Source organism: Homo sapiens, chromosome 15 (assembly GCF_000001405.40).
Source record: "Homo sapiens chromosome 15, GRCh38.p14 Primary Assembly".
Taxonomy (NCBI): domain Eukaryota; kingdom Metazoa; phylum Chordata; class Mammalia; order Primates; family Hominidae; genus Homo; species Homo sapiens.
In genome coordinates, this window is record NC_000015.10 from 47,901,466 (window position 1) to 47,927,592 (window position 26,127).

Below are 26,127 nucleotides of genomic sequence, written 5' to 3' on the forward strand. Positions count from 1 at the left end.
TGATATAGAAACTTGTCTGTCTCTGCCTGAGATTTGGGTAGGAATGCAATTTTTTCCAGAGGGAAAAAAAATAAAAAACAGGATAGTGCTAAGGTGGTCGATCATCTTGGTTTGCCCAGGACTGTCCAAGTTTTAAGTCTGGAAGTCTTGGATCCTGGAAACTCCCTCAGTTCTAGGCAAAGCAGTAGAGTTGGTCACTCTTCCTGTTGCTTGTATTATCTGGAGTCCAAATGCACACTACCATTTCCAGGAACTCCCCACACCAAGAAGCTGGTGATACCTCTGTGGTATTTGGTAGAAGAAAATGCAGATCCTCTCAGGTCTCACAGGCCAAGCCATAGGGATTCCTGGCATGAGGTGGAGCATGGGAATAGAGTGTCTATTAAAGATGAGCCAAGAATGAAAATAATAAGTACACAAGGCAATAATCCACCACATCACAACAACCTGGAATGACAGGGCAAGAATGTAGAAGAGAGTATACAGTGAAAATATTAAAAATTACTAAAGATGTAAGTGTGTGTGCATGTGTGCACGCTGAGAAAAGCACTAGGCACAAAATGAAAGCACAGGCAGGTTTGAAAAGAAATCAATAAGGTTATATATTTGTTATTTTTTCCTTGTAAGTCTGTCAATTTTTTTGTGTATTTTGATGCTAAGTTGAAATTACAAATTAGTAATTGTTATATTTATCACTGGTAATAATCCCTTTTAACATTAAATTATGATCTTCTTTATTACTAATAATGCATTATGCCTCATAGTATTTTGCTAGTATTAATATAGCTATAACAGTTCTTTTTGTTAGCTTTATTTCCTTTTGGGAGGTCAGTGTATTTTTCCATTCTCACATTGCTGATAAAGATATACCCAAGACTGGGTAATTTATTTTTAAAAAAGAGGTTTAATGGACTCGCAGGTCCACATGACTGGGGAGGCCTCACAATCATGGCAGAAGGTGAAAGGCACATCTTACATGGTGGCAGGCAAGAGAGAATGACAACAAAGCAAAAGGGGTTTCCCCTTATAAAACCATCAGATCTCATGAGAATTATTCACTACCATGAGAAAAGTATGGGGGAAACCATCTCAATGATTCAATTATCTCCCACTAGTTCCATGTCATAATACATGGGAATTATAGGAGCTACAATTTAAGATGAGATTTGGGTGGGGACACAGCAAAACCATATCATATTGCCTCTCCCAAATCTCATGTCCTCACATTTCAAAACGAATCATGACTTCCCAACAGTCCCCCAGAGTCTTAACTCATTTCAGCATTAACTCAAAAGTCCACAGTCCAAAGTCTCATCTGAGACAAGGCAAGTCTCTTCCACCTATGAGCCTGTAAAATCAAAAGCAAGTTAGTTACTTCCTAGATATAATGGGATACAGACATTGGGTAAATACAGCCATTCCATATGGGAGAAATTGGCCAAAACAAAGGGGCTACAGACCCCATGCAAGTCCTAAATCCAGGGTGGGGGGCAGTCAAATCTTAAAGCTCCAAAATGATCTCCTTTGGCTCCATGTCTCACATCCAGGTCACGCTGATGCAAGAGGTGGACTCCCACGGTCTTGGGCAGCTCCACCCCTGTGGCTTTGCAGGGTAAAGCCCCACTCCTGGCTGCTTTCATAGGCTAGCATTGAGTGTGGCTTTTCCAGGCTCACAGTGCAAGCTACCAGTGGATCTACCATTCTGGGGTCTGCAGGATGGTGACCATTTTCTCATAGCTCCACTAGGCAGTGTCCCAGTGGGGACTCTGTGTGGTGGCTTCAACCCCACATTTCCCTCTGTACTGCCCTAGCAGAGGTTCTCCATAAGGGCTCCACTCCTGCAGTAAACTTCTGCCTGGGCATCCAGGCATTTCTATAATCGTCTGAAACCTAGGAGGAGGTTCCCAAACCTTAATTCTTGACTTCTGTGCACCCATGGACTCAACACCTGTGGAAGCTGCCAAGGCTTGGGGCTTGCACTCTCTGAAGTCATGGCTTGAGCTATACCTTGGCCCCTTTTAGCCTTGACTAGAGCAGTTGGGACACAGGGCAAGTCCCTAGGTTGCACACAGCAAGGGGGCCCTGGGCCAGGCCCAATATACCATTTATTCCTCCTAGGCCTCTAGGCCTGTGATAGGAGGAAAAAAGTCTCTAACATGCTCTGGAGACATTTTCCCCATTGTCTTGGTGATGAACATTTGGTTCTTTGTTATTTATGAAAATTTCTGTAGCCAGCTTGAATTTCTCCTTAGAAAATGGGATTTTCTTTTCTATCACATTGTCAGGCTGCAAATTTTCTGAACTTTTATGCTGTTTCCCTTTGAAAACTGAATGTTTTTAACAGCATCCAAGTCACATTTTGAATGCTTTGCTGCTTAGCAATTTCTTCCACCAGACACCCTAAATCATCTCCCTCACATTCAAAGTTCCACAAATGTCTAGGGTAGGGGCAAAATGCCACCAGTCTCTGCTAAAACATAGCAAGAGTCACCTTTACTCCAGTTCCCAACAAGTTCCTCATCTCCATATGAGACCACCTCAGCCTGGATTTCATTGTCCATATCATTATCAGCATTGTGGTCAAAGCCATTCAGCAATTCTCTAGGAAGTTCCAAACTTTCCCCACATTTTCCTGTCTTCTTCTGAGCCCTCCAAACTGTTGCAACCTCTGTCTGTTACCCAGTTCCAAAGTCACTTCCACATTTTCAGGTATCTTTACAGAAGTGCCCCACTCCCAGTACCAATTTACTGTATTAGTCCATTCTCACACTGCTGATAAAGACATACTTGAGACTGGGTAATTTATTAAAAAAAAAAAAAAAAAAAGAGGTTTAACAGACTCACAGTTCCATGTGGCTGGGGAGGCCTCATAATCATGGCAGAAGGCAAAAAGCACATCTTACATGGTAACAAGCAAGAGAGAATGAAAAACAAGCAAAAGGGGTTTCCCCTTATAAAACCATCAGATCTCATGAGACTTATTCACTACCATTAGAAGAGTATGGGAGAAACTACCTCCATGATTCAATTATCTCTCACTGGGTCCTTCCCACAACACATGGGAATTACAGGAGCTACAATTCAAGATAAGATATGGGTGGGGACACAGCCAAACCATATCAGTCAGTGTGTAAGTCTGGGCCCTCTAGCCCTCCAAGATGACTTTGAAAATCAAAAATAATTGTGGTTTTTGAGAGAAAAGTTTGAGAAAACTGGGAGAGACTGGAAGAGTCATCAGATCTCTATGCAAATCTGACCCTGAGGGAAGGAGAGAAGAAGGGAGGGAGGAAGAAGTTTGGGTAGAAGCATCTTAGACTGAGGTACAGCCTAAAAGATGCTTGACCAGGCCATTAGAGAGTACTGGAGCCAGAGGAATCTGTCAGAGGAGTCTCATGTCTCCCAGGAACTGGCCTGCTGAAGGAGCCCTGCCATGTGGAATCATTGGTTGAAAGCAGCCTATGGGAAGTATGAATTCAGAGCACAGCAGCTGGGGCCCTTGGTTTACTACGCTACCTCCACTTGAAGATCCAAGAGACATGTACTCATGATGGTCACAATTGGCAATGGACTAGTATTTTTAAAAATTTTCCTTTACTTTTAATTTTTTATTACCTGTGGAGGGCATCATTTGTAAAAAATTTATAGCTGAAGTTTTAAATTTCCAGTCTGAGGATCCCTAACTTTTAACTGATGAATTTAGTTCATTTACAATAATTATGATTACTGATATATTTGACTGTTTCTTTTATAATATTTGTTCTTCTCATCTACCATATACTTTTCTTTGCCTCTTTTTCTCCTTAACTACATCCTAATGATTATTTGTAAAGTTTGTAAAATGGATTTGGTAGTAAAATAGTAAACATATTAACATATAAAAAGACATTATATGATTATAGGCTGAGTGTGGTGGCTCACGCCAGTAATCCCAGCAATTTGGGAGGCAGAGGCGAGTGGATCACCTGAGGTCAGGAGGTCGAGACCAGCCTGGCCAACATGGCGAAACCCCGTCTATACTAAAAACACAAAAATTAGCCAGGTATGGTGGCACCCTCCTGTAATCCCAGCTACTTGGAAGGCTGAGACACAAGAATCTCTTGAATCTGGGAGGTGGAGGTTGCAGTGAGCCAAGATCATGCCACTGCACTCCAACCTGGGCAATAGAGTGGACTCCATCTCAAAAAAAAAAAAAAAAAAAAAAAAGACAGTATATGATTACAAAGATGCCAACTTAATAAACTATATTTTTGTTATCTCCTTTTTACTTAGTACTCATTTTGAAATTATATATTCCATTTCTATTGTTTAAAATAGTTACCCTTTGAATTTTAGAATGTCTACTTATCTCAGCAAAGTTCAAAATTGATCATTTTTTTCCAAATTAATCTAGAAATGTAATACAATTACCTTAAATACAATACATAAAACTGGCAGATTTTTTCACAGAACTTAACAAATGTACTTTAACACTTGTGATGTGATTCTAAAATACTGTATATATGGAATAGCAAAAAAAATAAATAGTCTACGCTGGGCATGCTGGCTCACGTCTGTAATCCCAGCACTTTGGGAGGCCAAGGTGGGCAGATCACTTGAGGTCAGGAGTTTAAGACCAGCCTGGTCAATATGGTGAAACCCCGTCTCTACTAAAAATACAAAACTCAGTTGGGTGTGGTAGTGCGCACTTGTAGTCCCAGCTACTCAGGAAGCTGGGACAGGAGAATCGCTTGAACCTGGGAGGCAGAGGTAGCAGTGAGCCGAGATTGCACCACTGCACTCCAGCCTGGAAGTCACAGTGAGACTCCGTCTCAAAAAAAAAAAAAAAAAAAAAAATTGCCTAAAAATTTTTGAAGATGAAGAAGAAAGATAAAGGAGAGAAGTGATTTATCCTCTCAGAAACAAGATTTGCTATAAAGCTCAAGTAAATAATGTGGTATTGGCAAAGCAACAAACAGCAGAATAGAGAGCCCAGAAATGATCTCTCCTCCTTCTTTTTCTTTCTTGCTTCCTTCTTTCTTTTCTTTCTTTCTTTCCTTTTCTTTCTTTCTTTCTTTCTCTCTCCTTTCTTTTTTCCTTCCTTCCTTCATTTTTCCTTCCTTCCTTCCTTCCTTCTTACTTTCTTGCTTACACACACACACACACACACACACACACACACACAAATTAGTGTATGACCAAAGTGGCATTTCAAGACAATGACGAAATAATAGTCTATTTAATATATGATGCTAGGACAATTAGGTACCTAAATAGATAACTTTATAGAAAAAGGTGAAATTAGATTTTTATTTAATTCTATAAAAACACAAACATACACAATTTTAAAAGAATTAAAACTCAAATGTGAAAAAAGCAAAACTTACCATTTGAGAAAAAAATACAGAAGACTCACAGTATAAGACTGTCATAAGAAAGAATTTTTAAATAAGATACAAAATATGTAAGTTGCAAAAGAAACACTGATAAATTTTACATTAAAAATTAAAACCAATGTATGATTTTTAAAAAGCCTTATTAAAAGTTGGGAAAAAATGTTTTAGTCCAGGAGAAGGTATTTGCAATCTATTTTTAATAAACGTGAAAGTAATATCTATAAGGGATGTTACAAATTATTAAAGGTTGGTGCAAAAGTAATTGCAATTTTTGCCGTTACTTTTAATGAGAAAAACTAACCCAGTAGAAAACAGATGTTAACTTTGAAATTCTGCGATTTGCTGCAGAGGAAATGTGAATGACCAAAAAACACATAAGAATGTGCTCAACTAAACTAATATCCAGAGAAATGCATATTAAACAGACAAATGAAACACCACTTCACACACATCACATTGGCAAAATCGTCAGATAACACTGAGTTTTAGAAAAACGTGAGGAAATGAGAATGTGTATATTGTGCTGCTAGATATGAAATATGTTTACAGCAATGTTGGCAAACAGTTTGGCAGTTATTAGAAGGGTTCAAGATGTGCTTACCCTCCACCCGTAGAAGTCTTCCTTTGGAAACTCCCTGTGTATGCACAAGGAGCACATATAAAGACACTACTACAGCACTACAAACCAAAGACTAAAAGAATAAGCCACCAGCTTGTACAAGAGAAGAGATAAATAAAAGTAGGCTTATTCATACAATGGAGCAGCATATAGCAGTTAGAGTGAATTAGAGTGAGTTAGAGCTAAATGCTTCAAAAACTAATGCATGTCCTATGTATATAACAAAAAGAAACGAAAACATCTGTCCACACAATAACATATACATAAATGTTTACAGCAGCATTTTTCCTAATAACCAAAAAATGGAAATAACCCATATGGTCATCAACTGATCAATGGATAAACAAATTGTGGTATATCTATATGATGGAATATTACAACATAGACAGACCTTAAAAGCATATGCTTAATGAAAGAAGCCAGTCACATAAAAATACATATTATTAGATTCCACTTATGTAAAATTTCCAGAATAGGCAAATCTATAAAAACAGAAAGTAGATTAGCGGTTGCTTTTCATTGCAGAGGGGCAGGTAATGAGAAGTGATAGCTAAAGGGTATCGAGTTTCTTTTTAAGGTGGTTGAAATATTACAAAATTGACTGTGGTGATGATTTCAATTATCTGTGAATATAATAAAACCCAGCAAAATTGTTTTGTATTTTAAATGGATGAATTGTGTGTTATGTGAATTACATACCATTAAAGTTGTTACAAAAAAGGTGTAGACTAGTAAAATATTTAGGTAAGTAAGTAAAGAAAAGTAGATATTGTTTGGGGATACACATACACATAGTAAAACTTCAAAATATGCATTGCAGTGATACCCATGAGATTCAGGGTGGAAGCTGCCTTTGCAGAGGGAAGCTGGGGAATAAATGGGAGGGCACAGTGCTTCTTTTAAAATGCATATTACAAGAAATATATCACAATGTTAACATAAGTTTACTCTTAATAATTCATACATAGATACTATTGTATAATTTTCTGGGTTGGAAATTCTTCATAACTTTTTAAATTTAAAACCAAAATATTCTTGTAAGCCTTTTAAATTAATTAAAATGCAACTTTAACCTTCAAGGATGAAATAAAATATTTCATTTCCTTGCTCTGATCTTATAGACAATAAATCCATCCTCTTTTTCTTTCTTGGGCTATGTTTTACAATTGTAGAGGGTGATCTCAGGAGATATGTGTTTGAGTTCACAAAGTGAGTTTTGCATGAATCACACGCCTTTCAAAGGAAAGCAGTATAATTCCAGCAGCAGGGAACCACAAAATGATGCTTTTTGTCTGTTTAGAACAGATATTTTTATCCCTTTAGGAATGATATAAATTAAATAATTCTTCCTCATAATAACATGGTAGCACATTTTAGTTTCAGCTTGTAAATGGGTCACATTGGTTTGCTTTTCCAAAATGTAGGTTATTGGATGGCAATGGTGGTGGTAAGAGGAAAACATGCATTTCAGACATTTTTGAAAACTGAAATGGAGTTGGGAGTCTCTTTACATTCAATCCGTGAAGACGACAACTTGTTGGTTGTGAAAAACGTAAATATTTTGTAGTTCAACTAAATCCAAGTTTGAAATGTGAAAGCCACATAAAAATCATTATTGTGCTCTTATCTCAGGAAGGACCGCTTTTATTGCCAACTGTAAAATAGATTGAGCTACTCTAGTCCTTCTGAAATGGCATATTAAACTGGTATCTGCAATGATCTGAGGATATTGTGAATTCAGCTAAGTAAATGATATAAATCTATGTTGTATAATAAAAGAAAACTAATTGCAAAATATGTACCATCCTGGGATTACTTTTGTCAGAAAATAATAGGAATGGCTGGGTAGATCTTGTTTGAGGAAGTATTTATGGCCAATCCCTGGAGTGTCTGAAATCACTGATATAAGATGCTGGCAAAATCCACTATGCTTACTGGCTTAGCTGACCATCATACCCAGGAGGAAAGATTTTTATGGAGAAAAGTCTTTTAAATATGTGGCTGACTGCTAATAGATGGAACCAATTACCCAAGAAATTAAAATGAATAGATGGTTAGTCATCACTGCTTGGATTACTGTAATAGCCTGTTTGTGACTAGGTCTTCTTCCTGCAAAGACAATGATATCCCCTCTGAGGATGAATCCCAAGTTCTACAGACAATTAATAACTCATAATTTCTTTCACTGGAAATTACAGTTGGTGGACCCTTCTGTGCCTCTGTAATCCACCAAGATAATGGTTTATAAGGAGCTTTAGCGTTCCCTGTATATATCCCTTGAATCAACCAGAATGAAGTCTATTCTTTTTTCCTGGACTACTTTCAAAAGAAGTTTTCAAATCATCAGCTTGGTCGTAAAATTAATCGGATGGGTTTCTAAAACAGCCTAAAACATTTGATCAAGTATATTTGGAGCTAATGTTTGAATCACATAAACATTCCCCAGATCAACTAATTAGTGCAGCAGTCCCAAGAGCCTGAATAATTAGTTTCAGATGCAAACAACTTTTACTTGCAATATATAAAAGTATTGAATTCATTTGTTCTTTTATAATTGACACCAAATTCATGTTATGTCAATGAAAATGCTGAAAGGAATGACATTTTCTCATGTACGTGAGAAGTTTCTGAAAATGTTCTCTAGATTAACAACTTGAAAAGTAGGATCTGATATCCCTTTAAGATAACTATTACTAAACTAGTTAGTTAAAATTCAAATATTATTTAGATCATCTTTTTCCAAAATGTGTTCAAGATCACGCAAGTGAAGCTGGAATTTTTTTTTCAGAAAGGAGCACACTCTGGCCTCATTTTGGAAATTTCTAATATATATTAGCACATTAAGGACTCTGAGAAGTCCTGCAGCAAAGAAAACCCTAACTCAGCCTTGTCTGTATTTATTTAATTTGTGAATCTTATTTTTGCCTAACACTTATTCCAAACATTGCATATTGGAAAACACCAATAGGGACTGATCTACCCCCTTATGGAAAAGGCCTAAAGAGTTTAAAGTACTTACCCAAGATCACATGAGTACTAAGTTGAAGAGTGAGGAGACTGGCTCCCAATTCAGGGATCCTTCCTGGGATGATGTAATAAAGGAAGAGATTGCCCAAATAATGCCCCCAATTTGTATGAACTTTTTTTAAAATAGTAAAACAACAACAACAAAATCCAGTGATTTAGGAATCATCAAGAAATCCAAGAAACCAAGAAACCTAAGAATATTTAGGCATTGTCTTCCTTCTGGTTTAGAAATAGCTTGATAATGGGTAGGAGAAATTGGGTAGAAAACTACACTGTATAGCAAATAATATCATCTCACTTTGATTTGAAGCAAATCTCCCTCCTCCCCTCTACTCTCTCATTATCCACATTCATACTGCAGCTCCAAGCCCAGCTCTCCAATGAAATAATTTTTTTGACCTAAAAGAGTGGGCTCAGATCACAGAAACAGTGAGGGGAAAACTGAAACCTTGATAACACAGAGGACCAAGACTGGCACTGGTTCTCTTATTTACATCATACTTCTAATTATATATCAGTACTTGTTGTGGGAGACCCTCAGGAAAATCCCCTTCTGTGCCTAAGACCCTCTGACTTCACTGTGTAACCATTTTTCCTTCCCGTCAGAAGCAGATGGAATTAATAGACTGTGACAATTGTCTATTGTTCTAAACGAGTTACACTATGATCTGTTTGCCTCTTTCCCAGAAGATGGACGACAAAATGCAACGAGAAATGAGAATGTGTAATGTCTGAGGTTTTCCTATTAAAAGTCCCTCTTTGTTCAGAAGTCACACTAGCTTGATTTTCTGTGTTCTATTAGATAATATAAAAATCTTGCCCCTCAATGTCCCTGATGAAATTAGAGAATCATGATGGGGTGTCCTCAAGGTCTCAGTTTCCTGCCTTGAGGAAGCATATTACAGAAGTCAGAATGAACATCTCCTCCCTTGGAAAGGAATTTCTTCAGTACTAAAGACACCCCGCTACAGGGCAGGACACCCAATTTGTCATCTGCCCTCTACTGAGACAGCAAAGTCAGCCAGGGCTCAGAATCATTCAGATAATTTAAGAGCCCACCTTCAGAGGGAGGGCTAGAAGCCATGTGGGTAGTATCTGACATTTTAAACTTAATCTTTGATAGTCTAGTTAATTAATTTCTCTGAAATTTCTACCTCATTTTAGATAACCTAGGCACAAAAGGAAAGTCACCCCCAATTCATGCAGTTTCTAAGTCAGTATGATTACACTTTTCAGTGATTTGTTATATAGTTCATACTTCCGTGTTAATAAGTAGTGATTTTTTAATAGGGAAAAATCTAGCTTGTGGATATCTGCTAAGATCAATTATTAATGCTTGTGTACCCATTGCACTCATAAAACACCTGCCTAGAGCTCCAGAAGGAACTCAGGAAGGTGGAATAAGATAATATTTATTTAGCATCTACTGTGCCAGGCCTTCCATATATTCTTACTAAATTTAATTTCAATCCAACTTCAGAAAAGTAGCCTTCATTGTTATCACTATTACAGATGCTAAACCTGAGAATGAGAAAGCCTGCTTTATTCTATTTACTCTGCAGTTATTACTTATGTGAAGGAGGAAGAGGAGAAATAAGAGAAGCAGTGAGGCTGAGATCATCTCCTCCATTGCTCCTCAGAGTATGGCACACATGGCATCACCTAGACACTTGCTGGAAATGCTGATTCTCGGGTGCTTCTGGAACTACCATGCTCGAATCTTTGTTCCAACAAAATTAAACAAAATACCAGGTGATTCGTGTGCACTTTAAAGTCTGAGAAGCAGTGTCTATACAATTAAAACTTCTCCCAGAGGAAAGGAAAGGGACAGGAAGAAGACAGTCTGTATGGGCAAGACAGAGAGATGGAGTTGAGAGACACAGAAGAACAAAGGAGAGCTTGCAGGCCATTGCGTTGAGTTGGGAGACTGAGAGGGAGGTTGGGAAAGTAGCATTGTGATAACGTTCTCCTGCGGCTTTTAAATTAGATCCCGTTTAATGTCTTTTAGGAGAGTCCAGTACCCTTTTAAATTTTGTTTTCAATTATTCTTGATTTCTGGTCTGACACTGGCCTTTCACTGTGCCATGATGCCGCCCGACTTTCAAATAGGCGCCACCTAATTAAGCTTCTGAGCTTAATTGGATTGAAAGACCAGATGAGAGTCGTTGATTCTGCAAAAGAAGCATGGGCTTGTGGAGCTCATGTCTTCTCTGTTCCCCTGGTGTACTAGTGGGGAGTGGAATATTGGGTGCTAACAATCTTTATTTTGCTTAGACCTACGTTGTCCAAACGGCATGTGGCCCAAGACGGTTTTGAATGCAGCCCAACCACATGTTTATAAACTTTCTTAAAACATTATGAGTTTTTTTGCATTTTTTTTTACCTCATCAGCTATCACTAGTGTTAGTGTATTTTATGTGTGGCCTAAGACAATTTTTCTTCTTCCAATGTGGCCCAGGGAAGCAAAAAGATTGGACATCCCTGGCCTAGACCACACAGAAGTCAAATTCTGGGCAGCAAGTTGGGGTCTATGAACTGCTCAGAGCTCAGGAAGATGTACCACTTAGCCCAACCTATGGCCACTATGAGGTGCCATTGAGCCTTGCTACTCAACCTGTGAATGAGGGGACAAGCAGCATTGACATTACCTGGAAACTTGTTAGAAATGCAGGCTCTGGGCCGGGCACGGTGGCTCACGCTTGTAATCCTAGCACTTTGGGAGGCCGAGGCAGGTGGATCACTTGAGTTCAGGAGTTCGAGACCAGCCTGACCAACAAGGTGAAACCCCGTCTCACTAAAAATACAAAAACTAGCTGGCCATAGTGGCAGGCACCTGTAGTCCCAGATACTCAGGAAGCTGAAGTAAGAGAATTGCTTGAAACCGGGAGGTGGAGGTTGCAGTGAGCTGAGATCACACCACTGCACTCCAGCCTGGGTGATGGAGCAAGACTCTCTCTCTCTCTCAAAAAAAAAAAAAGAAAAGAAAAGAAAAGAAAGAAAGAAAGAAAGAAAGAGAGAGAGAGAGAGAGAGAGAGAGAGAAAGAAAGAAAGAAAGAAAGAAAGAAAGAAAGAAAGAAAGAAAGAAAGAAAGAAAGAAAGAAAAGAAAAGAAATGCAGGCTCTAATCCTCCTCTTCAAACCTGCTAAATCACTTTATGCACTTACCAACATGCCTGGGCTACTTGCGTGTACTTTAAAGTCTGAAAACATTGCCTTAGCAATAGCCACAGTATTTTTTGAAAACCTCTTACCTCAAATTAATTTCCCTTCCTGAAGCTGCTCCCTCCTGAGCCTGTGTCCTAGGCACACACACAGGGACTTGGTTAATTTTTGGTATATTTCTCTACAAATATCTCCCAGGCCAGACCTCCCAAAGTGCCTCAGGAGATAGTATGATCCTGAGCAGATGCCAAATGCAATTTTTGGCAGAAGTCAAGAAAAAAATCTTGGATTATCTGCTCTAACTGGGCTAGAGGGCAAAAATATTACCTTTTCTGGGGTTTGTTTACTTAATTATAAAACCAGTTATGCCATGGCTGTTCTAGCAAATCTGGCTCCAAGTTTTGAATCTAAGTATGAAAGATTTCACTACTATCTAATTTGGAGCCTTAGGGATTTTCATATTCAATGTCTAATTTGGTTTTAGTGATACTGATAGAAGAACCTTCTTTGCATAGCTATGTAGAAAAATGACTGGCTTACTGCCTGACTCAGTAATTCCACTCATATGTATGTACCCCCAAAAATGAAAGCATATATCTGCACAAAATCTTGTATGTGAATATTATTGGCAGCATCATTCATAATAGTTCCAAAGTGGAAACAACCCAAATGTCCACCAACTGATGAATGAATAATTAAATGTGGTATGTCTTAGTCCATTTTGCAGGGCTGTGACAGAATACCTAAGACTGGGTAATTTATCATGAACAGAAATGTATTTTCTCATGGTTCTGAAAGCTGGGAAGTCTGAGATCAAGGGCTGGCATCTGGTGAGGACCTTCTTACTATGTCATCCATGGTGGAAGGTAGAGGGTGCATGTGTCAGAGAAAAGGGGGCCAAGCTTGTTCTGTAACCCACTCCTGCATAATGGCATTAATCCATTTGTGAGTTCAGAACCCCCATGGCCTAATCACCTCTCAGTAGGCCCCAGTTCCCAATAGTGTTACATCCAAGATTAAGTTGCCAACACATGCTTTCTGGGGACACATTCAAACCATAGCATAGTATATCTGTATAATGAAATGTTACTTGGCCATATCATGGAATGAAGTACTGATACATGCTTCAATAAGGATGAACCTTGAAAACATTATGCTAAGCAAAATAATTTGTCCTACAGTAGGACAAATACTGTGTGATTCAATTTACATGAAATGTCTACAATAGGCAAATCCATAGAGACAGAAGTAGATTTCTGGTTTCCAGGGGCTAAGGGAAGGGCAGAGAAAGAGGACAGGAAAGAAACTGCTAACCAGAAGATTTCTTTGGGTGATATTGAAAAATGTTTAAAATTGACTGTGGTGATAGTTGCACAACTCTGTGAATATGGTAAAACACACACACACACACACACACACTGAATTTTACACTTTTAAAGGGTGGATTTTATGATATGTGAATTATATAGCAATGAAACTGTTTTCAAAAATGACTGGCAAGGAAACAAGAGCCGCTCTAAGTATGAGATTGAAGCCTGCTGGAGGGTGGTGTGTAGCCCTTGCCCAGGACAAGGGACAAGGAGAAGTGCAGCCCTCATGGCCATCTGTTTTCATCATCCAGGCCCCAGCATGGACAGCTGAACATGGGAGCTGCTTAACAACCAGGTCCAAAAGTGGGAGCATTCTCAAAGTAACACTTTCCTCCCTGACTTACACAGGTATTGCTGACACTTTTTTTTTCTCCTCCCAAATGAACCTTACTTAGTTTTTGATTAAGTCACTTTGCCAGGACATAAGTGTCTAAATTTAGTCATAGTAAAAAGAATAATTATTATTGTAAATGTGTTAATTCTCCTCTGTTACACATTTGGCTTAAGCCCCTTGTTAGGAGTTACCATACCCTGTGGAGAAAACGCTCTCCAAGTGAATCAATTCTACAATGCAAGATAGGTCCCATTACAGATCTGAGATAGGTAGGATAGATGGTAGATATAGGACCAGCTACATTCTTGGTGGGTTTCAGTACAAAATGAAAATGTGGGGCCCCAGTTCATTAATTATTTAAACATTCAAAGCAGTGCAGCAGAGCAAGCACAGGGACCCTGTAAGCATGAGACCCTGTGGGACTGCACAGATCACACCCATGAAGCTGGCCCTGGAGAGATACATAGGGGTGTGTGTGTGTGTGTGTGTGTGTGTGTGTGTGTGTGTGTTTATGGAGAGAGAGAGAGAGAGAGAGAGGAGAGAGAGAGAAGTCCCCATTTTATGTACTTGAAAAGAATTTTATGATCTTTATTGGACATGCTATTTCTTGTTAATAAAAACTGCTTCAAAATGGTATATTTCTAATTTTAAGGAGCTTTCCTAGTATTTCATTAAAACTGTCCATTTCACAGGGTTTTAATTTGCAAATTATTTTATTTTACCTCCCAACATTATTGTGATGTCAAAAGACAAAATTTTAGCATCCATTTTACATATGGGGAAATAGTCATGCAAGGCATTCTAGGGAGATGTCCAAAGGCAGAGGACCACAGTGAAAAAGGCAACATGTTATGTTTCTCTCATATATTTTTATAGTGAGTGACTGTATCTAGGATAGTAGTATGGGAAGACTGCATATTAATTCATAATACTGACATGTCAGGTATTAAGGATGATAATAAACGTAAGTAAAAAACATATTATCAAATGTTTATGACACACAAGGCACAGTGTTAATCCCTTTATATATTTTATGGTATTTGATTTTCATTCCAAAACTCTTACCCAAATTGATCATGTATACAATGAGAGGTAAATATGTGTCTCTGTCAGTCTGTGTGTTTGTGCGTGTGTGTGTGTGTGTGTGTGTGAGTGTTGTTGGCAGGGTACAAACCTAAAATTAGCTTTAGTTAGTAGTTATTCTACTGAAACAGAAATATTTTATGTAAATAGTTCCAAAAGTACTCTCGAGTTTACCACGAATTACACTGTGAGCCTAAGGTGTCCCCCTGTTTCAGAGAGGCAGTGGAGCATGATGGTGAAAATGTGGGCTTGGAAGGCAGCATGCCTGGGTTTGAATCCCAGCCATCTTGCTCACCAGCCATGTTGCCATGAGCAAGTCAGTTTCCCTCTCTGTGACCTGATTTTTCCTCTTTGTAAAATGGAGGTTACAACAGCACTCACATAGGCTTGTTGTATGGACCAAATAAGTACACATACAAAGTATTGCATTACACCAGTGTTAATGCTGCTGCTTCTGTTTATTATTATTTTTGTTATTACATAGAAAACCAGAATTTTAACATCACAGTAATCAGTTGAGATTGTCCATCAGCCTGGTCCATGGTTCTCATGTACATAGCATGTCTTTATATTTGATTAAATTGTATTTGAGTACAATGCATGTTGGTTCTCCAGCCACATATAGGGGCAGAATTTGTGGTGGGAAAGTGGGATGTAGATGCTGACTCCTGGCCCAAGAAGAACAGAAAAGAATAGTGCCAAACTCTTTTAAATAGTATTTAAGCCAATACCAGTGTCAGTCATGATTCAAATAACATTTGGCTTCCAAGTGGGGCTTCCAATTGGGCCAGCAAGGGACATGGACCCAAATCCAGAGATCAGAGTGCTGGAAGACAGATAATCATCCTGCAAACTCTCTCTGTGGGGAGTAGGATCCCAGCAACTAGGCTGGAGTCAAGGATGAAAATTCCCACCCCAGAGAGGAGGAAATATCATCAAAGTTAAGGCAGAATCATAAATCCCTGAGTCCAGGGACCAAGCAATAGAAAAATTCTAGTCCTAGAAGAGCAGGAGCTGGGCAGAAGGCAATTGTAACTTGCATAAATCTCAATCTAGGCATCACTCCAGGGGGACTCATTGGTCTGGGTACGATCAGTGAATATAGAGCAATGCTGGGAGCCCTGCAGGTGTGTATGGGCCATTTGACCCCCGGTGCCTAATGGTGATGTAAATCTGGGTGTGTAATCCTGGTGGAGAAAAGACTACGGACGTACTCTTCAGTTAGCATCAAGATTGGCAAAGAGCAGGACCAAGATGGAGAATACGTGTGGAGGGGAATCAGTGGTCCAGCTGTGAGAAAATGGGAAGCCAGAGGCAGAGGAAACAAGACTGCCAGCACTACCAGCCCAGCTGCGCTTGTCACCCATGCCACCCCGACCCCTGGTCTCCGGTCTGACCCTAGTGAGCCTTGTGAGACCAGTGTGTTGTGGGCTTTTTTGGAAGAATGACTCCTGTGGTCTTCACTAAGAAGTACTGTGCTTACCTTCAAGACTAACCTGAGATGGTATATTCTTTGCTGACCTTGCCTTGCTCCTCTTCTTCTTGGGAAGAGCCCTGACAAGGACCTGGCAGTGACTAAGAAAGGACACATGTGAGGGCAAAGACGGTGACTCAAGAGCTGATGCTAAACACTCTTGAGTTTCATGGGTTATTCTAGAACCTCCCTTCCTTTTTTACCCCCAAACCCCAAAGCCACATGTTGAGAAATACAGGTCAGTCCTCCCCAATCTTCACATTGGCTCTGCAGTCTGTAGGTTGTCTTTATGCTACTCTTTCTACATTTCAAGCTAGAAGTTAATTTTAGCCTACTCTTGCCTATATAAAAATATTAGAGAGAGGAGGATACAATTGGAAGAAAACACAATATAATTAGCCTTGGACCTGAATCTCTGAAACGGCCTTAGCTAGACCTTTGTACATCAGGAGCATAGTAGGAACTCCAAAATGCTTGTTAATGAGTAACTGGATAAAAAACCTTTTTAATATTCTGAGTTTATAGTGGGCTGTCTAATGTCTAAGGGCTCTGTTGAACAAGAGAAGAATCTGTGTATTAGGGTAATAATTTACATAATGAGGCTTAAAAAATGCTTAGTACATCTTTGAGCAGAAATCACCTTTTTCTTGAATGCTGTGTTATCGTCCCCATGCTCCAACTTAAGCCTAAAGAGAGAGGCAGAGGGAGAAAGAGTCAAGGCTTCGATCTAGGACAAAGTTAGGAAATGGAAGCCTTTGGGTAAGGTACATCTGAGGCATATAACCGTGTATTTTAAATTCCCCAAGTTGCTTAGACAGTTTGTCCACATGTGTCATGCCAGCTTATGTAAAGCTCATGCCCCACACCACAAAGGGCAGACAATGCTGAGCACATCCACTGACTTCACAGTGACAAAAACGTGACGTTGGCCTGAGAGCTTTGTGAACTGACATATTAAAACCTGCCTATTGTCAACAACCGAAGTTGTGGAGGGGTGCGGGATGGTGGTAAGCAAACTGAGTGTGTGATGTTTATTGCATCTACAGTTTTAGCAGCCTGTTTCTCAAAAGCAGAATGTGCTAAAAAATCCCTGTGCCTGAAGTTTCCCTCAAATAGTCAAACCTGAGGTTATGGAGAATAACTTTCAGAAAAGTTAGATAAATACTGCAATATCATCAATTTAACCTCCTAGCCTCAGAATGAGCAATGAACGTTTGGGGCTCAATAAAATGATGACATAAAACACACACATACATATTATTTTTAATGAACTATGGCCAGTTTAGGGTGGATATTTGTCAGTCAATAGGTCAGAAATGTTACTGGCTCCTACTCCCCAAGTGAAAGAGTTGAGAGTTTTAAGAGATATAGAGTTTCTATTTGATATATAATGAATTCATGTGGGAATAAAACCAGAGTATGAGTTGGCATCTGTTAAGTCCAGAATGATTCTCTTTTGCTGATCCCCATAATTTTGGTCCTAATGGTTTCTGTTTTCTTATCACCTCCTAAAAGTATGAATTGATTGGCATGTTTCCTTACTGTCAGAGGTGAAATCTTTGAGTTAGCCAATATCATCATCCTCCATGCATGCTGCTCAGATTTTAGGAGCTACAACAGAAATGAGCTGCTCATGATTCCCCAGTAACTCTTTTAATGTATGTGCTCTCATTTAATGTGGTTTTCCAGGGATAATAATAGTTTAGGATTATTTTTGTTTTGCAGGAGTCTAATGATATACCCTAATGAATGACTCCAATGTCTCCCATGGAAAAACTAAATCATTGACAATGGAGATATTTGTGACTAAGAATATATAAATGTGTTAATTAATTTAGTCAATAAATATCTAGTCATTAAAAGAGGCATAATGAAGTCTCAATGTTTTGAATCCCTAGGCACATCTGTGCAAAACCAGAATATATAAACATCATCTTGAATGCTCATCAGCAAATAACAAACACCCACATATGTGAAGGCAAGGTAGAATTATACCAGTGAACAAAATGACGACAACAAAAAGTCTATTAAATTGTTTGTAGGAGATATATATATATATAGCAGGATATGTATAGGAGGATAGATAGATAGATGATAGATAGATAGATAGATAGATAGATAGATAGATAGATAGATAGATAGATATAATAGCCCAATTTCCTGATCCAGGCAATTCCAGGTGGATCCATCTCATCTTTCCCTGAGAAAAGTCCAGCTAGTAGCAGTAGTCACATTTTCGTCATCTTTTTTGCAGCAGCAGCCATTGGTCATGCTTGTTAGTCAATGACATCAGCCTTGACCAGAGCTACTGGCATGGAAATCCCCTTCCTATACAATTCACAGCCAGCAGTCACAAACTTGGAACATGATTTGAAGATGGCCATTGACCTTCCACTCTCTTGTCCACCTTACAACTTCTTGCTCCTTTCTCCAAAACTTTCAGAATAAATCAAGATGTTCCCATATGCACTAAGGCTTAGAATATCACAATACCCTGGTAGTGTTAGCAAAAAGAAACAGACCAGAGGCCGGGCGCGGTGGCTCAAGCCTGTAATCCCAGCACTTTGGGAGGCAGACGCGGGTGGATCATGAGGTCAGGAGATCGAGACCATCCTGGCTAACACGGTGAAACCCCGTCTCTACTAAAAATACAAAAATTTAGCCGGGCATAGTGGCGGGCGCCTGTAGTCCCAGCTACTCGGGAGGCTGAGGCAGGAGAATGGCGTGAACCCGGGAGGCGGAGCTTGCAGTGAGCCGAGATTGCGCCACTGCACTCCAGCCTGGGCGACAGAGCCAGACTCTGTCTCAAAAAAAAAAAGAAAGAAAGAAACAGACCAGAATACCTATCCAAGCTAATAGTGTTTTCAACCTTGTTTTCTGGAGGTCATACACATCTGGATCACTTGTAGCTGAACCTGGGCAGCCAGCTTTGGATTAAAAAGGCTTACATATTCACTCTAAAATCGCTTTTTCGGTGGTGGTGTATTAATGACATATAACATCCTAGCCAGGGATCCTTTTGTTGCACAAAACAGAACTACACTCAAAACAGGTCAGGCCAAGAAGACAATTTCATTGATGGCAACATCTTCTAGGGTCCAACTGGCAAAGGTCAAGAAATGAGGCTGCTTCCCTGTATCTGAATGAACTCCATAGGCTTTGACTTTTTCTCTACTCGTCTCTTTGCAGACTGAGACTCTTCTGTTTCCCCAAACTTTCAGTTTGCATAAGATTTTTCTTGGCCCCAAATCTATATCACTTTCACTTCATATTTATTTCATTATATAATTCGGGGCTCCTCAAATTGTGTCCTCAGACCAGTCTGTGAAAAAATTTTTGCCACTCTGTGATAAGAAAAGTAAAGAAATTGAGAATAAACGTTCAATCAAATAGCAATTTGATCTTGCCCCACCATCCAAGTCCATGATGAGTGGACCTGCCTTGCTGAACAGGATAAGGACCAGTGTGGGCATTGCTAATCTCAGCTGGGGAGTTGTGCGGGGCGCACAACACGTGCAGCAAGGCTATGTTACAACATGTGATAGTTTAGGATTAATTTTTCACTGCGACCTTTAAAAAGATAAAATTCAGAATTTATTTCACTCACCACAAAAAATTTAATTTTAATTGTAAATTTACAGGTTAAATTTTTAGAAGTGGCTACTGAATCGTATGGAAGATGAATTTTGAAAATACATTATCACTTCACTTTGGATAAAAGTTAATATCCTAGGCTGATGTAAATTGCTTTAAAAACATCTTCCATTTCCATCAGCCTATTTCCATAATATTGGTCTCTCTATGACTGCTATGAAGATAAAACACAGAAGTAGTTTAGATACATGTTATCCCCTGTGAGTAGTAGTATCATCCAACCTAGACTATATTAGTTAACAAACAAGAAGCAAACTCATTTTATACATTAAAAACTTTAAATATTTATACACATGGTATTTAAATTTAAAACAGGTATGCACTGTGGATAATCAATACCAAAACCATAACTTTTCTTTAGCTGTGATTATGGAACAACTAAAAGTTACAAGTGTAACAGTGATTCTCTATAATATTTACCCATATGTATATCTCCAGTGAATAATATATGCATTTTTTATGAGTACTGAGGTAGACATAGAGATGTACAACATAGATTTCTCTTCAAGAAAAGACTTGGTGGCCAGTGGCAGGTAATGGGGCCCCAGACAGCTTCTAGCTGTCAGTCCCTTCATGGTCTGTCTCAGCTGCAGAGGACTGCATTGCCTCTTCCTGCAGGTGGCCCAGGAAGAGGACACCCTTCCTGGGCCATCTGCATTCTGCTCTTAAGTCAGGTGGGGTTACAAAGTCCCACCATTTTGGCCCCATCCTGGACACTGTAATGGAAAATATTCTCTCTAGAGCTCCCCACTGGGTTGGCCAAGGTTTTATCAGATCTGTATCATGGCTTAATGTCTTCAACCAGTACTGATTTGTCTGTCTTCTATCCATAACTGTTGATCCTGAATGAAAATCTTTTACCCTCAACTCTATATCTGTGTCTGCTTCTGGAGAATCAAACCCACACATTGCCATTTTAGCCTGACACACAGGGCTGGAGGTCGTACACATCTGGATCACTTGTAGCTGACACATAGGGCCATGTGAGTCCAGAGCAAGGGAACTAATTCAGAGCGGAACCAGGGTTGCTATGAAAAGACTCTTTAAGAGGGGATGACATTTCAGTTGAATCTGGGAAAATGAATACAAAATTGATGCAGGGAGCAGAGCAAAGTGACCACATTCCCCCAGGTAAAGGAAACAGATTGTGTAAAGGCAAGGAGGCATGTCCCTGGCATAGCAGGCTCCTGTCACTTGGGCTCTGTTCAACTATCACCTCCTCCAGAAGACTTCTCAGACCATCTAATTTAGAGTTGGCATCCCTGCCCCTGTTAAGAAGTACATCTGGCATGGTAGGCAGGAAGAGATCAGAAAGGGCTAGGTTGGAACTTAATCCTGAAGGCTGCAGGAAGCCTTTGGGAGACTGTAAGTGCACTTCCTTTACCATCCAAACTGTGCCTTAGAAATGCACTTGGGGGCTGCATGAAGATGTTAATGAAATGGGGTGAGAATGGTGATTGGAGGATGGGTTTGGAGGCTTTTGTGACAATACTGATTTTTTTAAAAATTGTGATATGTCGTGCAAAGCAGTGGTTCTCCAATACTAAGGTAACTTTGAATCACCTGGGAATTGTTAAAATACCCATTCTGATTCAGGATGTCTGGGGTTGGACTCAAGGCTGCATTGCCAACAAGTTTCCCAATGATGATAAATGCTGGCAGTCTACAGGGATGTCAAGACCTAAGAATCAAGCCATTAATCAGCAGGTGATATGTACCAACCTAATAGGGAGAAGGATAGAGATGTTCATAATTCTGTAGGCATAGTCACACTCTCTGAAACCAAATGCCAGGAGAGATAAGCATAGTCTTTGATGCATAGATAGTTGGAGATATACCAGGCAAAGAGATGGCTAACTCATCCCAAGTGACCATAAACCTCTCCAGGTATGAGATGCAGATATGTGGTTCATTTAACTACAGCTTCATGTCACCTGCTATTGACCAGGAATTAGATCAGTTAACTACAAATGAATTGAGTCAGCTTTTGGCTTCTGCTAGAGCCCTAGATTCATCACAGTTTTAGCTGTTGTTCATTCATCTGAAATGTGGTTTTCACAGGAAAAAATTCACAGCTATCCAAATTCTTCCCTTGGTTACTATTATGCAACATTATTATTAAAGCTAATTATCAAACTTACCTTCAATTTGCAATTTTGGATGGGTGCATCTGAGTACTTAATTCTCCTAGTAAAGTCAGCTATGAATTGCACTTTTTTATGATCACACATGAGGAAGGGTACACCAGCCTTAAGTAACACTTCCTATTTTTAGACAAGTTAGTGTTTTTCCTCTCCTCTCCTTCACCTCCCCTCACCTCACTCTGCCCCCATATCCATTAGATATTTGTCACCCAACAGAATATGGAATTCCTGGTACATGACATTGAACCTCAATTATTTTGAAACTGAGTTTTTTTCTTCTCTGTCTTTAAATCTGGTTGGAGAAAATTTGGAAAAGCTTCCAATTGTTAATAAATTTTAAACTAGTGTTATTTCCTTATGCATATATATATTGCTGCCAAGTAAATGAAAATTGCCTCTCATATTAATCACCTATAAAACTGCATGATGCAGTTTATATATTATACGTAAATATATATTAATAGTATGTATTATTTTAATATATATTAATCATCTATAAAACAGCACAATACAGCAATATATGAGCATGTGAGCACACACGTGTATAGAATGAAATTCTTCAAATTCTTCTATGGAATTTGATTGGATTCACAAACTTCAAAAATTTTAGCTTTAAAAGTAAGATTTTAAAAACAGTGACTTTTAGGGGAGAGATCAATATGTTTACCGAAAGTATGCAGTTATCTAGATTTTATTTTTTAATTGTCTCTTCATGAAAAATGGAAAGTGCCATCTTGCTAGTCTCAGTTCATGTATGGTGGCACACAATCTATAAAGAACAAATATCTGACAATACTGTGCAGTGCCCCTGGGACAGACAATTTCACACAGAGGGAAAGGACAGGAAGTAGTAATTATGAGGTTGTGATTCAATTTGGAAGACTCTGAGGGTATTGTCTAAGTTTAGAATAAATGCGCCATAAAGTGTTAGTAATCTGCCCCCACTGCTGGTCGTTTCCGTTTATATCCCGAACTTGCTTTAATTAGGAATGAACTTTGTGGACTGAACAACATATAATATTCTTTAAAAAGCAAACTATGGAAGGACCACAAAAGTTTAAGAATAAAATTGGAAATTCTATCTTGGGCCAACAGCCATTTCTGATGCAAAAATAGTAGTACACGTGGGTTAATGTGTATGAAACTGCATTGAAAAGCATAAAAAGTTATACAAATAGCTGAGGCAGGAGAATGGCGTGAACCCGGGAGGGAGAGCTTTCAGTGAGTCGAGATCGTGCTGCTGTACTCCAGCCTGGGCGACAGAGCGAGACTCCATCTCAAAAAAAAAAAAAAAAAAAAAAAAGAATTTTGTGAAAGGAAGTGAGGTCTCATAGTGGGAGAATCATAAATTTTCAGCGGGGAAAATAAAATAAATGCGTACCTCTGGCAGAGCAAACAATACAAATGTAAAAACCAAACAGAAGCCAAGTGAACCCATTCACATACCCATGGCTGGAGTGTCTTCCTGCACACCATTTGGATGTTACAGAAAACAGGAGCTCAGATATGCTGGGGTTATTGTGAGGAAACTTTTCATTTCCATGAAATATTTCCTGAATGTCCATGAACAATGCACATAGTGCTATAGTAACACTATTGCACAGTCCCCTGGGATTTGCATACTTTGGTTAGTGGTGGCTTTAGCATGGAGTTAATAAAGCTAAAACTTCAAGCCCCTGCACTTGCATGGGCCCCTGTGCCTGCTGGCAGTTGTAGAGTGTTCTGGGTGCCAAGGAGAAGGCAGGTTGCACTCAGGAATCATTTCGGGGTAAGCATTTCTGGTAAGTTGCCTAAAGACATCAGGAAAGGAAAGGTGCTGAGCTTCAGGCATTTGTCATGGTTTATTTTCTCACTCTAAATAAATATGCACATCCATACCTATCTTTGTATTTGAATCAAAGATGAGGCAACTAACTTGATTACTTTTCTTGGATTCACACTTCTGTACGATGTTTAGTAAAAGCTGACCTGTCTGTTTTTCAGTGAAAACTCTTTAAGTGCCCGCTCATCTAATTTATCCATCAGTCATCAAATTGTTATTGACAAAATATACTAGTCAATAGGCTGCCTAGAATGGTCTAGGTAGGCTGTTTTGCCCACCACACCTGGTGTCATGTACCTGGGAAGCATGTCACCTTGACTTCACTTGGAGCTTGCGTCATATGCCACACTCTCAGTCATCAAGGCTTGCGCATTTTCCCTCCATTTCTCTTCACATATGAAACCTCTTCCTATTTGCTATGCCCTGCTAGCAGTGTTTTGTAGATATTATTTTACAACAATCCTAAAAGATAGAGGTTAATACCACTCTTATTTTAAAGAACTCACAGGAAGCCACCAGCTGGTAAATGGTTTGGTCATGATTCAAGACAGGCAATCGTCTCCAGAGCCTGAGATCTTAGCCAAGGGCTGCACTACCTCGGTGACTGTAAACTCTTATAAACTCCTACCCATGTCTCTTGTCCCAGTGCATCTTGGTTCCAGTCCAACCATTAAACCAGTGGTTCTCAACCATGAGCAATTTTGGACCCCAAGGAACATCTGGCAATGTTGAATACATTTTTGATAGTCACAATTAGGGAGGTGCCCCTGCATCTAGTGAGTAGAGGCCAGGGATGCTGTTAAACATCCAACAATGCACAGGGCAGCCCCTGCAACAAAGAATTATCTGGCCCTAAGTAGCAACAGTACTGCTGTTGAGAAATCCCATCTTAAGCTAGTACCCAAATAATCCATCTTAAATACATCACCCCGCTTTAATAACTTCTTCCTTTCCAGATAAAATTGATAATATTTTAACTTGAATTCTATGGCTTCTGTAAGATGTTCTTCTCTATTTTTCCACTTCTTCTTTTTTTTTTTTTTTTTTTTTGCTACCACCATTTTGACTCCAACATATTCTGTAGTAGACACATGGAGCCAAGACACAGAACACCTGGGGTTTGCTCCTGGCTCTGTCATATTACACTGGCATGTCACACAGTCTCTCCAGGCCTCAGCCTCCTCACTGTGAAATGATGGAATTAAGCTGTGTGATCCCATGGACCCCTTCCAGTAGGCCACTTGCTCCAGCTTCTCTCAGCAGGAAGAGGTGTTCCCAGCCAAAGGCCAATCTTTTCACTCAGGACCTGACTGATAACCAGGATTGCCACTGAAGGAAGGAGGAATAGAAGCACACCAAGGGCAGAGACCAGAGCTATAGACAGGAAAGGAGGCAAGAGGTGGAGAGCCATGGGGACGGGAAGACTGAGCTAGAACAAGGTCGAAAACTCACAGGGTAGGTCACCAGCATAGAAAGAATGGGTTACAGTAAGAATAACAGGTGCTCATTCTTATCAAGTGTTAGACACAGCATGGCCTGACATGTGTCAAGACCGTAAGTAGGCTCCCTGGGTCTGCGCTGCTCCTGGAACAGCCCAAGGTGACAGGATGGGGGAGGCTGTTTTCGGGTGCATAAAGACGTGATGAGTGATGATGATCGGACATTGGTGTGATCAAAACCCACCCTGGCAGCCCCACCCAAGTCAGTCTCAGTGGGCCTCACCAGCTGTAAACACTGCTCCCCCATTGTCTGGTTCTGTGCTGTCTTATTTTTTTCAAAGACCCCCTAAAGGAGCTGCCCTGAATGGGAGACTCCATGTTGGCTTGCAGCCATTCTCTCTGCCACAACCTTAGAGATGAAGAAATTTTCTTCTTAAGTTCCCTGCCTCTGAGCCTTCCACAGCAACACCTTTCCTTCTTCATGGTCCTCAAGCATAGTACTCTAAACAACTGGTGTGTGTGTGTGTGTGTATGTGTGTATCCGTGTTTGTGTGTGTATGTGTGTGTGTGAGAGAGAGAGGAAAGAAACAATCTCAAATGCACGGAAGAATTGCAAGAACAGTACAAA

At 39.6% G+C, this 26,127-nt stretch overlaps 1 long non-coding RNA gene across 4 annotated transcripts in view; it reads left to right on the forward strand.

The window, feature by feature from the left end:
* Nucleotides 1-26,127, forward strand: part of LOC124900354 (uncharacterized) — a 165,186-nt gene that overhangs the window by 17,103 nt on the left and 121,956 nt on the right. Inside the window, exon 1 of one of the 4 annotated variants that reach the window (XR_001751518.3) lies at nt 13,816-13,897. The exons of the other annotated variants lie outside the window; for them this stretch is intronic. This is a non-coding gene — a long non-coding RNA (uncharacterized LOC124900354). Of the gene's footprint in view, nt 1-13,815; nt 13,898-26,127 lie in introns of those variants that run through there. 4 annotated transcript variants of the gene reach the window in all.